Consider the following 15,550-nt stretch of genomic DNA (forward strand, 5'->3'; position numbering starts at 1 on the left):
ACAAAGGATCTGGGAGTACAAACCTATTTATACAAAAAGCACCAGCAAACATGGCTGAGAACTGCATTTAAGATGATTATTACAGAGAACCTGAGCAAATTCAGCCCTTCCATGGAGTTAACCTACAATTTGAAGAGGCCCAGGAATTCCAAAGGTATTATATAAAGGACCAAAACCCAATGTTCTAATATCGTAGCATGGCTTATAACACAAGCTCTGTACGTAGAAGAACTTGTATTCAAACTGGCTGTTTCTTGGTTGTGCAACTCTGAACAAAATAATTTATCTGAGTCTCTTTTTTTTTATTCCGTAATTTTTTACTGACAGCCAAGTACTGGTCTAGGTGCTAGGAATGCACGATGAATAAGACAAACCCAACACTACCCTCATGGAGCTGCCCTACTAGCAGTCACTTCTATGCAACGTGACAAATGCAAAGAGAGAGAAAATAGGGAATAATGACAGCACGCTCTCTAATTCAAACAAGGTCTGGATCAGAGAAAGCTAACTGAGAAAATCTCTCAGCTAAGATCTAAAGGAGGAGGAGTGAAGGAAATATGCTCCTAGAAAGTGTTTGGGAAATAGACAGTGAGAAATAGGAGAAGCGATTGTGGCTTGGCCATTGGGACTGAGGGGAAATGGGGGCAAAATGAAGCAGGAGAGGTAGGGCCTTAAAAAACATGTTTGAGAGCTTGGCATTACCCTAAGAGCAATGGGCAGATGGTCATGTTTTGAATGAGAGTGACAAAATCAGATATACTATTTGAAAGATGAGCAGCAAAGAACAGCGTTTAAGAACACACATTTTAGGCCGGGCGGGGTGGCTCATGCCTGCAATCCCAGCACTTTGGGAGGCCGAGGTGGGCGGATCACTTGAGGTCAGGAGTTTGAGACTAGCCTGGCCAACATGGTGAAACCCCATCTCTACTAGAAATACAAAAATTAGCCAGGTGTGGTGGCGCACACCTGTAATCCCAGCTACTCGGGAGGCTGAGGGAGGAGAATCGTTTGAGCCCTGGAGGCAGAGGTTGCAGTGAGTGGAGACGCCACTGCACTCCAGCCTGGGTGACAGAGCAAGGCTCCGTCTCCAAAAAAAAAAAAAAAAAAAGAGCACACACTTTGAAGCTAAATTGTGTGAGTTCAAATCCTGACTCTGTGACTTACTAACCATGTGACCTTCAGAAGTTACTTACTGGTTCCCTCTGTGCGTACATTTGAACAGCACTAACTTCATAGAGTTGTTACGTGCATTCAATAAGTTAGTATTTGTAAGGCATTTAAACCAGTGAATGGCACATAGTGTTTTTAAATAAGGACATTTAAAAGTTCTTGCAACAGTGTGGAGAGTGGCTCAGGGAGCAATGGCAGGACTAACGGCGGGGACGCTATTTTAGGAGGCTGTTGTAGTAATCTAGGAGACGATGACGGCAAAAGTTAGGTAATGGTAGTGAGACTATGAAGAAACTAAGGACTTTCAGAGTTGTTTGGAAGGACTAAAGAATTGAATGGGTGGAAGTGGGGAGTCAAGGTACGTGTCTAAGTTTTGGTTTGGGTGAATGGTAGTGCCATTTTTTGATTTGTGGACACGGGAAGAAAAAGGTTTGGGGGAAAAAGATAATGTGTTTAGTTTCTTCCCCAAATATGGATAATATGTCTGCTTCATATAATATGAAGATTAAATAAACTAATATACCATCTTCCATTCCAAATCTGTCAAATATTTGATTCCCAAGCAACAATGTTCTAGGGTACACGATCCTAGTCAACAATCTGAGGGTAGGAAGAAAAGCTCCAGAACTGAAGGGGTCAGATGCTGGGCACTCTCTGCTGCTCCTGACACAATGGCTGCTCCTATTCTTGTTTCCTGAAAGAATGAATTTTACTAAACATAGTCCCACCAGACTCCTTACTGAATGTGATGCCTACTTAAATCCTGGCCTCTTTGCTTTTTTTTGTTCTGAGATGGAGTCTCACTATGTCAGCCAGGCTGGAGTGCAGTGGTGAGATCTCAGCTCACTGCAACCTCCACCTCCCAGGCTCAAGCAATCCTCCCACCTCAACCTCCCGAGTAGCTGGGACCACAGGAACACACTACCACACCTGGCTAGTTTTTGTTGTTATTATTAGAGTCAGGGTTTTGTCATGTTGCCCAGGCTGGTCTCAAACTCCTAAGCTCATGTGATCTGCCCGCCTTGGCCTCCCAAAGTGCTGAGATTTCAGGTGTAAGCCACTGTGCCCAGCCCTTGGCCTAACTTTTAATGGTAGCCAGAAAGAGGAGAACAGCACCCCTCTCACTCATTTTGGTATTGGCTGTCTTTCCTGTCCAGGAGTTTAACGTTTTTTTTAATTGAAACTCTGCACCCACTTCTTGCTAACACTATTTTACATTTTTATAACATTTTTTATACTGTAAGGCAAAAAGTACACTGCTTCTATTTATAACAGCCAAAGACTGGAAAGAGTCCAAATGTCCTTAATAGGGGACTGGTTGAATAAAGCATGTGACAGCCACACGATGGAGTTCTGTGCACTAGTAAAAAGAAATGAGGAAGATCTCTATAGAGTGTAGAGCGATCTCCAGGATCTAAGGTAAAATGCAGAATAGTATGCATTTAAGAAAGAGAGGGAGGCCGGGCGCGGTGGCTCACGCCTGTAATCCCAGCACTTTGGGAGGCCGAGGCGGGTGGATCATGAGGTCAGGAGATCGAGACCATCCTGGCTAACAAGGTGAAACCCCGTCTCTACTAAAAATACAAAAAATTAGCCGGGCGCGGTGGCGGGCGCCTGTAGTCCCAGCTACTCGGGAGGCTGAGGCAGGAGAATGGCGTGAACCCGGGAAGCGGAGCTTGCAGTGAGCCGAGATCGCGCCACTGCAGTCTGCAGTCCGGCCTGGGCGACAGAGCGAGACTCTGTCTCAAAAAAAAAAAAAAAAAAGAGAGAGGGAAAATGTAGTTGCTCTTATAGAAGGGAGGGAAAAAAAATGGGAGGATACCATGGGCTAATGAAAATGTTAGTCTGCAGGGGAAGGAAAGTGACAGGTTGGAGAAACAGAGATGGAAGGTTTTTCTCCTCTGAATATACCTGGTTTACAATCTCAACGTTAGGCTAAGCATTTTACATCATTATAAAACAAAATCAAATTAAAAAGAAAAACAATCCCTAAAAATGGAAAATATTTATATCACCATATATCAAACTGGTGGTAAAACCACACAGGGAATTGTTTCAAGTGATTTTCAAACTCAGTAAATTGACCGCATATCCACTGTGGGCCATGTCCTTAAAACAAATAGAACCATAAAAAAATCTGAAACTGTTAGTATTAGTCACATTAATACTGTTATTTTGAACAAATAAAGAAATTTAAAAATTAAATCAAAGAAGTAAAAGCTTCATAATCTTACATTTGGACTGGAAATACTAATACGAATTCATGATGTATTTTTCTCTTCCTGGTTCCATCCACTGAAAAAGTCTAGAAGTAATGACAACACAGTGGTGATGATACCCCTAACAACCCAGTGTGTGGTTTTCATATATCCATATCATTTTCCACTAAAAGAAACCAGGATTCCCTGGAGAAATGGCCAACTCCAGGCCACAAGAGAAAATGTAAGTGATGATTCCTGGACATCTCTTAGGACAGAAAGCAAGAAAGCTATTAAATAAAGATGATTGGGTCAGGCCCGGCATGATGGCTCATGCCTGTAATCCCAGCACTCTGGGAGGCCGTGGCGGGAGCACTGCTTGAGGCCAGGAGTTCAAGATCAGCTTGACCAATGTAGCAAGACTCTATCTCTAAAAAAATAAATGAATCAGCCAAGTGTGGTGGTGCACACTAGCAGTCCTAGCTACTCAGGAGGCTGAGACAGGCGGACTGCTTGATCCCAGGAATTGGAGATTGTAGTGAGCTGTGATTGCGCCACTACACTCCAACCTGGGCGACAGAGTGAAACCTCATTTCTAAAAAAAGAAAAAAAAAAAAAGCCTACCTGCAATGGATTGAAATATAAACATTAAAAATTCATGACTTCATAATGAAAACAAAAAACTTCACACCTCACTGGTCACCTCTAGAAGTTACTGGGACCCCCAACTCATTATTCTGAAACTAACGAAAGGAATGAATCAAGTATTTATCCCAGGCTAGGCGAGGTGGCTCACGCACTTTGGGAGGCCAAGGCAGGTGGATCGCTTGAGGTCAGGAGTTCGAGACTAGCCTGGCCAACATGGTGAAACTCTGTCTCTAGTAAAAATACAAAAATTAGCCAGGAGTAAGCTGGGCGCAGTGGCTCACACCTGTAATCCCAGCACTTTGGGAGGCAGAGGCGGGCGGATCATGAGGTCAGGAGATTGAGACCACTCTGGCTAACATGGTGAAACCCCCTATCTACTAAAAATATAAAAAATTAGCCAGGCGTGGTGGCAAGCGCCTGTAGTCCCAGCTACTCGGGAGGCTGAGGCAGGAAAATGGCGTGAACCCGGGAGGCGGAGCTTGCAGTGAGCCAAGATCACACAACTGCACTCCAGCCTAGGCGACAGAGAGATATTCTGTCTCAAAAAAAAAAAAAAATTAGCCAGGAGTGGTGGCGCATGCCTGTAGTCCCAGTTACTAGGGAGGCTGAGGCAGGAGAATCACTTGAACCCAAGAGGCGGAGGTTGCAGTGGGCCAGATCTCACCACTGCACTCCAGCCTGGGCGACAGCTAGACTCTGTCTCCAAAAAAAAAAAAAAAAAAAGAAAAAAGTATTTATCCTGTCTTTCCTGCCTAACTAAACTGTATTCAGGGTATCCCAATAGTTCTTCATAGAATAATTGATGTTAATAAATACAGGAGGAATGATATAATTAGAAAACAACCATTTTGCAACCTCAATGAAATAATAATGAACCTAAACAATAATCATAAATGGCTGCAAAAATCATTAGGTGTAAGGTTCATGGGCTGCTTCATATGGGATGAAACAGGTTGCAAACACATGAATCCACTGGTCAATCTTAACATCACTAAAACAGAGAACGTTAGACAGGGCATCCTCCTGAAATGATTCCATAGCAAGTGCATTGCTCCCCCAATGAGGTACTTTCAACAAAAAGATTAAATCTCAATCTAATTAATTGACTAGAGGTAAATACCAGTTTACAGGAAATACTGGAATACAGAAGCATGTTAAGTGACACTATGAGGATTTGGTGGGAAACATTTACAGGACAAATGACACGGTTTCCTCAACAGATCGATCACATGGAATGAAGGAGAGGAAGAAACCGATTTATACTGAAAGAGACCTAAGGCATATATCCACAAAATGCAATGTTGGCTGTATTTTGGAAATTGACTTGGACAATCCAACTGTAAAATCCCATTTTTGAAACATCTCGTGAAATTTGAACACTGACTGGTAAGTGAAAATGACCAGAAAAGAATTAAGGCTTTTTTCCATTACAAGAGATGATGCTGTGTTTATATTTTTTCAAAAGACAATACTTTATAAAACATACTTTTACACACATTTTCCTGATTGTAGATATCCAGAGGATGTCAAATAAATACTATTTAAGAGTAAGACTCCTCTGCAAAAGTTCGATTTCCCCCTCTCAAAATAAAAGGATAAAGCTTTGACATGTTATTAAAGATCACTATCCTCCATCACCACCAGCCCAACCATATTTCCCAAGGCTCCTCTTTATGCCACTACACCTCCAGACAAACTAGATGATTTGCAGTTCTCACACTTTTCTTCTGCAGGACTTGAAGGCCCTGGTATACACTTCCCCCATTTTATTTGTCCAAATCCTACTCTCTTGAAGATCCATCCAAAACTTAGCTCCTGGCTAGGCACAGTGGCTCACGCCTGTAATTCCAGAACTTTGGGAGGCTGAGGCAGGAGGATCACTTGAGCCCAGCAGTCTGAGATCAGCCTGGGCAACATAGCAAGACCCTGTCCCTACTTAAGAAAAAAAAAAGTAGGCTGGGTACGTTGGCTCACACCTGTAATCCCAGCACTTTGGGAGGCCGAGGTGGGCGGATTATCTAAGCTCAGGAGTTCAAGACCAGCCTGGCCAACATGGTGAAACCCCATTTCTACTAAAAATACAAAAAATTAGCCAGGTGTGGTGGTGCATGCCTGTAATCCAAGCTACTCGGGAGACTGAGGCACAAGAATCACTTGAAGCCAGGAGGCGGAGGTTGCAGTGAGCTGAGATTGTGCCACTGCACTCCAGCCTGGGTGACAGAGTGAGACTGCCTCAAAAAAAAAAAAAAAAAAAGTAAAAGAAAAAAATATTAGTTCCTACATAAAGCCTTCTTTGAACCTTCTATTAGAAGTAATTATTCCTGGGCTGGGTGTGGTGGCTCACAACTGTAATCCCAGCACTTTGGGAGGCTATGGTGGGCGAATCACTTAAAGTTAGGAGTTCGAGACCAGCCTGGCCAAAACAGTGAAACCCCATCTCTACTAACAATACAAAAATTAGCCGGGCATGGTGGTGAGTGCCTGTAGTCCCAGCTACTCGGGAGGCTGAGGCAGGAGAATCACTTGAACCCAGGAGGCGAAGGCTGCAGTGAGCCAAGATCGTACAATTACACTCCAGCTTGGGCGACAGAGCAAGACTTGGTCTCAAAAAAAAAAATAAATAAATAAATAAATAAAAAGAAGTAATTAATCCTGCAGTTCACCTATGGTATCTGTAATATCCCACCTTGTACTATACACTTCTTTTAGGTGCACTCATGCATTCCTGCAACACGTAATTATTAAGTAACTACTATCGATCTGTACATCCAGAAAATATTTATTGAACACCTATTATACTTTGGACCTGTGCTAGGGGCTAACTATGCTACAATGAATAGACAAACACTGCCCAACCTGATAGAGATTACAGTCTAGTAAGGGAAGACAACAATTTTACACAAGAAATTACTCACAATTATGAGAAATAGGACAAGCGCAGTGGCTCATGCCTGTAATCCTAGAACTTTGGGAGGCTCAGATAGAGAATCGCTTGAGCTCAGGAGTTCGAGACCAGCCTGGTCAACACAGTGAGACCTCGTCTCTACTAAATATTAAAAAAAATTAGCCAGGCCTGGTGGTGCACACCAGTAGTTCCAGCTATTCATGAGGCTGAGGCAGGAAGTTAAGCCCAGGAGTCTGAGGCGGCAGTGAGTTATGACAGTGCCACTGTACTCCAGCCTGGGCAACAGAGTGAGACCCTGTCTCAAAAAAAAAAAAAAAAATTAGGAGAAACGTTACAGAAAGTGTAGGAACTATATTAGAGGATATAACAGACAGGTAAGACTCAATTGCGCCCTGTCACATATGGCACATAATTTAGAATTACTTTTTTTTCTTTTTTTTTTAGAGACAAGGTCCCCCCACCCCAGGGCAGGATGCAGCGGCACGATCATGGCTCACTGCGGCCTCAAACTTCTGGGCTCAAGCAATCCTCCTACCTCAGCCTCCTGAGGAGCTGATACTATAGGTGTGCACCACCACGCCTGGCTTTTTTTTTAAGAGACAGGAGTCTCGCTATGTTGATCATGATGGTCATGAACTCCCGGGCTCAAACTATCCTTCCACCTACAGGTGTGGGCCACTGCTCCTGGCCAGGATTAATTACTTCTTAAATGAACTATGTACCCCAATTTTGAACAATGCAGCTCTGCTGGAAATGTCTGGGACTTAAGTAAAATGTGTAAAGCCATAACCTGATACACACTAGGCCCTCAAGAATAAATGTTAGTTATTTTCACTGGGTGCTGTGCCCCTCCAGAGAGAAACTGATTAGGTTTTGGATACTAATCCCCTAGCTCTAGGCCGCTAAGTAATACCAATCTAATAAGCATTTCAGAAATAAGTATAACAGGAAAGGAAGTAATATGTAATAAAAACATTCTGCATTTGCATCAAGGGTTTCCTCGAGATGTCGAGTATCATTATTCCCAATTTAAAGATGAAGTAACTGAGGCTCGAAAAGAAGAACAGGACCTAACAACATCGTACAGAAGTCCCAGCTCCAGGGCATCTGCTGGTCTTTCTCCACCCCTCCATAACTCTACAACCTTGGTCCAGAACAGGCCTCTGGGCCCCAGACCTCGGAGGGATTGAGCCTTTCCCAGAAGGCTTTGCAGCGCCGCGGAGAACTCTGGGATACAAATGGATACACAAATCCAAAGCAAAAGTCTAGACCTGGGCCCGAGAAACAGCCTCTTAAGCCCCCCAGGTGCCTTCTTCGGCTCGTTTGTGTGCTTACCTTTCCTGGAGCTCCCGCCATCGGGAGCCTCACTAAGCCCCGCAAAGGCTGGGAACAGCGCCATGACCACAGGCCGTACCTCCGTTCTTCTCTATAGGGATGGCGCCGGCGAGCGAGCGCCGGTCTGAGGACCCCTGCCGTCGCGGTGCACTCTGGGAAATGTGGTTTTCGCGGCGCTCTCTGGGGCTTGACCCCGAAGCGGGAGGGGCGGGGCCCAGAGAGGAGGGTCGTCAAGGGACTGGGGCGCGGCGGGGCAGGGAGAGGCAGGGCAAAGCAGGGTGGGGCGGGGCCAAGGGGGGCGGAGCGAGGAGTGACGGGTTCCTAGTGGTTGGGACCCTGTGAGAACCGGAACTGCGAAAACCGGAGAAGGGAATTGTTGACCGCGAAAGGGACTAAGGAAATTGGGATTCCAGTTCGACCCCTAAATTCACACCATCCTTGCTAACTGGGTCAACTTAAACGCTCTAAGCATTACTTTCCTTATCTGCAAAATATTGAGAAGATTAAATGAACATATTTATAAAGGGCCTAGCATTGAGTCCGGCCCATGAAAAGCACTTAATATGTGTTAGCTATTATGTGAATTACGACTGCAAGTTCGGCTCAAAGTCATGTGAGATATCCGAACTTCAATCAGGTTACCATATTAAATACCCCAGAACAAGGAAAAATGGAAAGTCCCATCAAGTTCAAGGGTCTTTGATAGTTAGGAAATACCTGTCTGTGAAGCATTCTTGACCCCGGTTCCTCCCACCCAAAATCTAATCACACTTGCTACCAGAAATATAGAGAGTAAAGGAACAACTTAGAAGACTTTGTACTACCAAGAAACAATTAGCCAAATCTAGAATATGGGAAATTATAGAAAACAACCGTGCTTCCTTAACATATCAAGGGCTTTAAGAGGGCAGGAGATTGTAATAGATACGAAGATCTTACAGACACATCAAGCAAATACAACATATTTGTGGCCTCATTATAATTCTGATTGGACAAACTGTAAAAAGACCTTTTTAAGATAGATGGAGAAATAAGAAGGTAGGCAGAGTACAAGCAATTCACAAGTAATTCTTGTGAATTCTGTTAGATGTACTAAAGTACTTATGTCACTGAGGTGACCCTTATTTATTTATTTTGAGACAAGGTCTCCTTCTGCCACCCAGGCTGGAGTGTAGTGGTACGATCTCTGCTCACTGCAGCTTCGAACTCCTCGATTCAAGCAATCCCCTCACCTCAGCCTCCCAAGTGGCTGGAACCACAGGCATACACCACCATGTCTGGCTTAATTTTTTTTTTTTTAATAGAGACAGGGTTTCACCATGTTGCCCAGGCTGGTCTCGAACTCCTGGGCTCAAGCGATCTGCCCCCCTCTGCCTCCCAAAGTGCTGGGTGCCTGTGCCTGAGCACCCCCCAACCCAGCCTGAGATTACTTTTTAAAGTTCTTATATATTAGAGATATATACTGAAATATTTGCAAGTGAAAATAGATAGGTAAATGAAGATATATTTATTGGGATCCTAGGGAGTTAAAGATCTTTAGTTAGGAAATACATTATAAACCAGAGATGCAAATGTAATCATCTAATCAAGGAATGGATGGACTCTGATGAAGTCTGCAGACCTGCATAAGAATTAGGTTCTATGAGTCCAAAATAGACACCCTTAATGCTTTGAAGTCCCTGGCAGAGTACTTACAAAAAGGAGCTTAGTATGACAATAGGGGCAGTAATTCCTGTATGTCTTCAACTTTAAATCTCAGGTTCTGCCAAAATCTTTGACTCTAAGTTACCTCAATTAATTGGGGCAGCATTTGTCTTTCTTAGCAGATCACTTCAGGTAACTGGGATGGAAATAGTCTATCCCAATGCCTCCTATCTTTCCACCCCAGAAAAGTAAGAATTAATATGGAAGTTTTAAGAAATTAAAACCATAATAATAATGTTTCTGTAATACAAAGGAATCTGGGTATACTAGGTATATTGTGTACTTACAAATGTATAAGAGAATGTTGCTCAAGAGACCCTCCTCATAAGAACAACTGAAAGTGTATAATCAAGTAACTGATACAGACTCCTGGTTTTAAGTTAAAATCTTTTTGTGTTTGTTTTGTTTTTGAGACAAGATCTCCTCTCTCGCCCAGGCTGGAGTGCAGTGGTGCGATCATGGCTCACTCCAGTCTCGACCATCTGCCTCAGCACCCCGAAGTGCTGGGATTATAGGTGTGAGCCACCATGGCCGGCAGTAAATTGAAATCTTAATGAGGTTTAAGCAGTTTCAGGATATCCAAGAGAATCTAAAGCTCGCCATATTTGTAAGTGTAATTGGTTAGCTTTATAAGAATAATGGGGTCCTATTGCAGGAGCATGAGGGAGGCTGAAGATTCCATTTCGAGGCAGCTCTGAGCTCACGAAATAGACACCATGAGCAAAGCTCACCCTCCCTAGTTGAAAAAAGCTTTTGGACAAGAAGTTAGAAGCCTTAGAATGAGTATAAATAATGGCTGTTCAACAATAATAATAACAATAGGAACAAACTACTGATACATACAACATGAATGAATCTCAAAATTGGTATGCTGGGTATAAAAAGCCAGGCACAAAGAGTGTTTACTGTGTTATTCTCTTTATACAAAATCCTAGAAAATACAAATTAATATATAGTGACAGAGAGTGGATCGGTGTTTCCCTTGCTCTGGGAACGAAGAGAGGGATATTCCACAGAGGGGTGTGGAGAATGTTTTGGGCTTGATGGAAATATTCTGACTCTTGTTTATGGTGGGGGTATCACAGGTGTGTAACTGACCAAGTTCTTAAAAGCTTAAGAACAAACAAGGGTTTTCAATTTGTTTTTAATACATTGGATGCCAATCTTTTAAACACTGTGTCTGCAAATTTTTTTCTGGAAAGAGTCACATAAAACATATGGTATTGGCTGGATGCAGTGGCTCACACCTGTAATCCCAGCACTTTAGGAGGCTGAGGCGGGTGGATCACTTGAGGTCAGGAGTTTGAGACCAGCCTAGCCAACATAGTGAAACCCCCGTCTCTACTAAAAATACGAAAATTAGCCGGGAGTGGTGGCAGGCACCTGTACTCCCAGCTACTCAGGAGGCTGAGGCAGGAGAATTGCTTGAACTTGGGAGGCAGAGGTTACAGTGAGCCAAGATCGTGCCACTGCACTCCAGCCTGGGCAACAGAGCATGACTCCACCTAAAAAAAAAAAAGACATGTGGTCGCAACCACACTGAAATTTGAATTTTATACAATTTTCACATGTCATAAAATGTTATTTGCCTATTTTTTCAACATTTATATACGTAAAAATCATTCTTAATGCATAGGTCATACCAATTGGCAGTGGGCTAACCTGACCTATTGCCGTAATTTTCTAGACCTATGCAAACTTTTTATTATTAGAGTCAACTAAAAGTAAACTTTTGAGTAGTCTTCTCTGCATTGAAAAACAATCGCAGAAAGAATAAAAACAACTCACTTTATTATTATTATTATTATTACTATTTCAATCTATAGGCTTTGGGTATTTCCAGTGCATATGGCAGGGATTTCTCAGAATAAACAAAGATGTTTTCAGATAATGATTTGGCTTTGTATATAGCTTGACTAAAGGAAGGGACTGAATTTCTCAACCACTTTTAAGTATCTCTCTTCTTTGTGGCAGAAATAACTCACTCTAGACTGTTAAGTTGCTGTTTTGCATCTATCTCATTCTCTGGGGTATTCTCATTAGCCTGTATTTGTCACAGATCTTGATCGCCTCTGGACCCTGACATGAGTGAATCTTTTCCCTGAAGATGGCAGGAAGGAAAAGGAAAAACAAAAACAAAAACAAAAACAAAAATCCTGCAGGAGAGAAATGTGAAAAGAGGCTTTGTTTTAGTTGCAGAGGAGTTGGATAAGAGTTTTGATCTTAATAAAGCAGGCAGCTAGTCTGTCCATAAAAAACAAACAAGAGGCTGGGTGCAGTGGCTCATGCCTGTAATGCCAACACTTTGGGAGGCCAAGGTGGGAGGATGAGGTGTTTGAGACCAGCCTGGGCAACAAAGTGAGATGCTGTTTCTACAGAAAAAGTTAAAAATTAGCCAGGCATAGTGGTGCATACCTGTGATCCCAGCTACTTGGGAGGCTGAGGCAGGGGGATTGCTTGAGCCCAGGAGATCAAGGCTGCAGTGAGCCATGATCGCACCATTGCACTCCAGCCTGGACAACAAAGCAAGACCCTGTCTCAAAAAAAGAAAAGAAAAGGAAAAAAAAAAAAGAACGGAAAAGAGGTGGGTATGAGTGAGAGCTAAAAACTATAGAAAACAACCTTTAGGTTATTCCAGAAGACATGATATGAACAAAAGGATCGGCAAGAGGCAGCTAGATACAAAATAGGTAGGTACTCAGTACTTGTTTGCTGGCAAAATACTGCATACATAATTCCCACTCACTTTTGGAAGAGGATATTATAGAAAAAGGAATAGGGGGCCAGCCATGGTGGCCCATGCCTATAATCCTAGCACTTTGGGAGGCTGAGGCAGGTGGATTGCTTGAGCCAAGAACTTCGAGACCAGCCTGGGCAACATAGTGAAACCTCGTCTCTATCATTTTTTAAGTAAAACTAAAAAAGGAAAAAGGAATAGGTAGTGAACATGTTTTATTTTGTTTAACTGGCAGGCTCCTTTCTGAATCCACAAGAAGTCCTATCAGTACAATGTGGTCTGGCTGTCCCAGCCCCATCTGACAGGTTAGGGTAAGTGCATGACCCAGCTCGGTCATGTCCTTAGTTGATAGGTGCTCAACCCAGCTCTGACCCAAGCCAGGCCAAGCAAAGTTCTTTTCCATGAATTTTGAAACTAGAACTGAAAAGGAAAAAGTTGTCTGTCTTTGTGTGTCTAGACTGCAAGATATAATAGTCCAGGAGCTGGTGGAGAAGCAGAGTAAACTGCCTGTAGAGAGAAGATAAAACCAGGAGTGAGCTGGACAGGACGGGCCCTGGGATTTTGGAACTCTAATTCTAATTCTCCCTGGAGCTCTGCTGCATTCCTATGCTTGGGTTCTAGGAAACCCAATATCAATATCATTATAATACATCTCACATTTCAGTAAACAAATTCTGCCACTTGCTACCAAGAGTCCTAAATGATACAAAATGAACAAGTGAATGAATAAATAAATGATACCATTTCCACACTCAAAGTCACAAACTCAGAACCTGAGGGTACTCCAATTATTAATAGTTCGAATGACAAATGACACTTTTAAAATGGTGTACTCAGAACATGTATAAACAAACTTCATTCACCTTAAGAGGGAAAGAATCCTCACTCACTGATCAAGAAAACTGGAGAAACGGGTCTATCAACTCCATCAATCTTTAGGAATTTTCTGGTAGTTCCTATGAAGTCAAACAAAAGAAAATGTGCCCTTTGGACAGAAATATCAGCAAGGAAATAAAAGAGCCTGAGCCACTTCACTGGTGTGATCTTTTTTCTGTTTTATTTTATTTTGTTTTGTTTTGGGGTGATGGGGGTCTCAGGTTGGAAATGTCTCAATATGTGGACACAATCCCAAGTAACAGATCTTCAGTCATAGCTAAACCAGCCTATTTATGCCTAACTCACAATTCACGCACTCCAGAACCTGCTAAAATACGTAAGGTTATGCAGAAATTAGAGAAGAATGACACCAATAACACTTAATAACTATACCGCCATCTAGAATAATCATTAAGAGAACCCTGCTTGGGTTTACTGTGCTATATGGAGGCTGGTGTATTCTGGGTGAGGACATTTTTAAGAGCCTTGGATAAGAGTGACTTTAACCAGAGTTTTAAAAGGTTAAATCAGTATTCTTGGGTAGCTCACTCTTAAACTAGCCCCTCTTCCCAAAGTGCTCTGAAACAATTTTCAGCTTTCGTTGTGATTATAGCTCTTCCAGAAAGTGATAGGTTTTATGTTATGTTGATAGTGAAAGAGATCAATGAAACAACACAAACCTCTTTTTAAAAAAATAATTAAAAAATAGGCAAATAGTTAAATCCCCACTGTTCAGGCTGCCTTTCTTTGACTAGAAAAATGACATTTTAAGAACTGGTTTGGTCCCAGTCTCCATTTAAAATCTCCTTTTTTGTTGTTGACTTTTGTCTCTCTGGCAATTCTCCTGGCTTGTGGGTGCCCATTTTTAAAGTGTGGCCAGAGGTATTGGCTGGTTCCTGTCTTCCGCCTTGTATTCCCATCTGCACCTCTCTTCATTGCCTCCTCTCATTGCCAAAAAGAGCAAAAGTGTGAATTTTTTCACCTGTAAATTTCCAGTTACAGGAGAAAGTATCCAAATTAAATTTGTTTTCACCTTTTGCCTATTTATTTAGGAATACAGAGAGGAACTATTCTCTCCTACCATTTTAAGCATGATACAAGAAAAGTTTTCAATACATGAAAGTATAAAAAAGATGGGGAATGATCACCCATGTTTCCATTACCCAAAGACAAATATTATTTTGGAGTTTGTTTTTATATTTTATTTTATTATTATTTTTTATTATTCAGACAGGTCTCCCTCTGTCTCCCAGGCTGGAAAGCAATGGTGAGATCACGGCTCACTGTAGCCTCAACCTCCTAGGCTCAAGGGATCTTCCTTCCTCAGACTCCTGTGTAGCTGGGACCACAGGCGCACATCATCACGCCAGCTAATTTTTTAATTTTTTATAGAGATGGGGTCTCATTTTGTTGCCCAGGCTTTGTTTTGTTTTTTTTTAGAGATGGATTCTTGCTGTGTTGCCCAAGCTGGAGTGTCATGGTACGATCATAGTGCATTGCAGCCTCAAACCCCTGGGTTCAAGCGATCCTCCTGCTTCAGCCTCCTGAGTAGTTGGGATTACAGGTCTTTCTTTCTTTTAGGTTTTTCCTGTGTCTTAGATTATGGATAATTTGTTTCATCATAGTTGTGATTGCTCTTTCTCTTCATGTTATACAAAAGCCTTTCTGTTTTATTACAAACCTCATAAACATGTAGTATTAGGTTGGTGCAAAAGTAAGTGCGGTTTTTGCCATTCCTTTCAATGAGGAATGGCATTGAAAGGATGTGTAATATTTCATTCAATAGATGGAATTACAACATACTTAACGACTCCCTGTAGCTAGATATTTAGCAAACCTCACCTCTTATGTCATCTCATCAATATTATCTATGAGTTCTCTAAACTGTGAACTGGCTGGTCAGGATTGTCAATCATAGGATTTGATTTTATTTTATTTTTTGGGATGGAGTCTTGCTCTGTCACCCAGGCTGAAGTG

The 15,550-nt window shown here is 42.3% G+C and overlaps 1 protein-coding gene across 1 annotated transcript in view, besides 4 other annotated features; it reads right to left on the reverse strand.

The window, feature by feature from the left end:
* NRDE2 (NRDE-2, necessary for RNA interference, domain containing) overlaps positions 1–8,357 on the reverse strand; it is a 64,082-nt gene extending 55,725 nt beyond the window's left edge. The window contains exon 1 of the mRNA NM_017970.4: positions 8,257–8,357. Within this exon, the coding sequence (NP_060440.2) occupies positions 8,257–8,320 (64 nt within the window). The 5' untranslated portion in view covers positions 8,321–8,357. The remainder of the gene's footprint in view (positions 1–8,256) is intronic.
* Positions 2,293–2,794: an enhancer, noted in NCBI's record as "H3K4me1 hESC enhancer chr14:90792221-90792722 (GRCh37/hg19 assembly coordinates)". NCBI's record gives its function as "activates a minimal SCP1, AML or CMV promoter by ChIP-STARR-seq in naive H9 embryonic stem cells {active_cell/tissue: H9 hESC(naive)}" and the evidence as "EXISTENCE:reporter gene assay evidence [ECO:0000049][PMID:30033119]".
* Positions 2,795–3,294: an enhancer, noted in NCBI's record as "H3K4me1 hESC enhancer chr14:90792723-90793222 (GRCh37/hg19 assembly coordinates)". NCBI's record gives its function as "activates a minimal SCP1, AML or CMV promoter by ChIP-STARR-seq in naive H9 embryonic stem cells {active_cell/tissue: H9 hESC(naive)}" and the evidence as "EXISTENCE:reporter gene assay evidence [ECO:0000049][PMID:30033119]".
* Positions 8,111–8,290: an enhancer, noted in NCBI's record as "active region_8875". NCBI's record gives its function as "activates an Ori minimal core promoter by ATAC-STARR-seq in GM12878 lymphoblastoid cells {active_cell/tissue: GM12878}" and the evidence as "EXISTENCE:reporter gene assay evidence [ECO:0000049][PMID:35858748]".
* Positions 8,441–8,590: a silencer, noted in NCBI's record as "silent region_6006". NCBI's record gives its function as "represses an Ori minimal core promoter by ATAC-STARR-seq in GM12878 lymphoblastoid cells {active_cell/tissue: GM12878}" and the evidence as "EXISTENCE:reporter gene assay evidence [ECO:0000049][PMID:35858748]".

This window comes from Homo sapiens, chromosome 14 (assembly GCF_000001405.40).
Source record: "Homo sapiens chromosome 14, GRCh38.p14 Primary Assembly".
Lineage (NCBI taxonomy): Eukaryota > Metazoa > Chordata > Mammalia > Primates > Hominidae > Homo > Homo sapiens.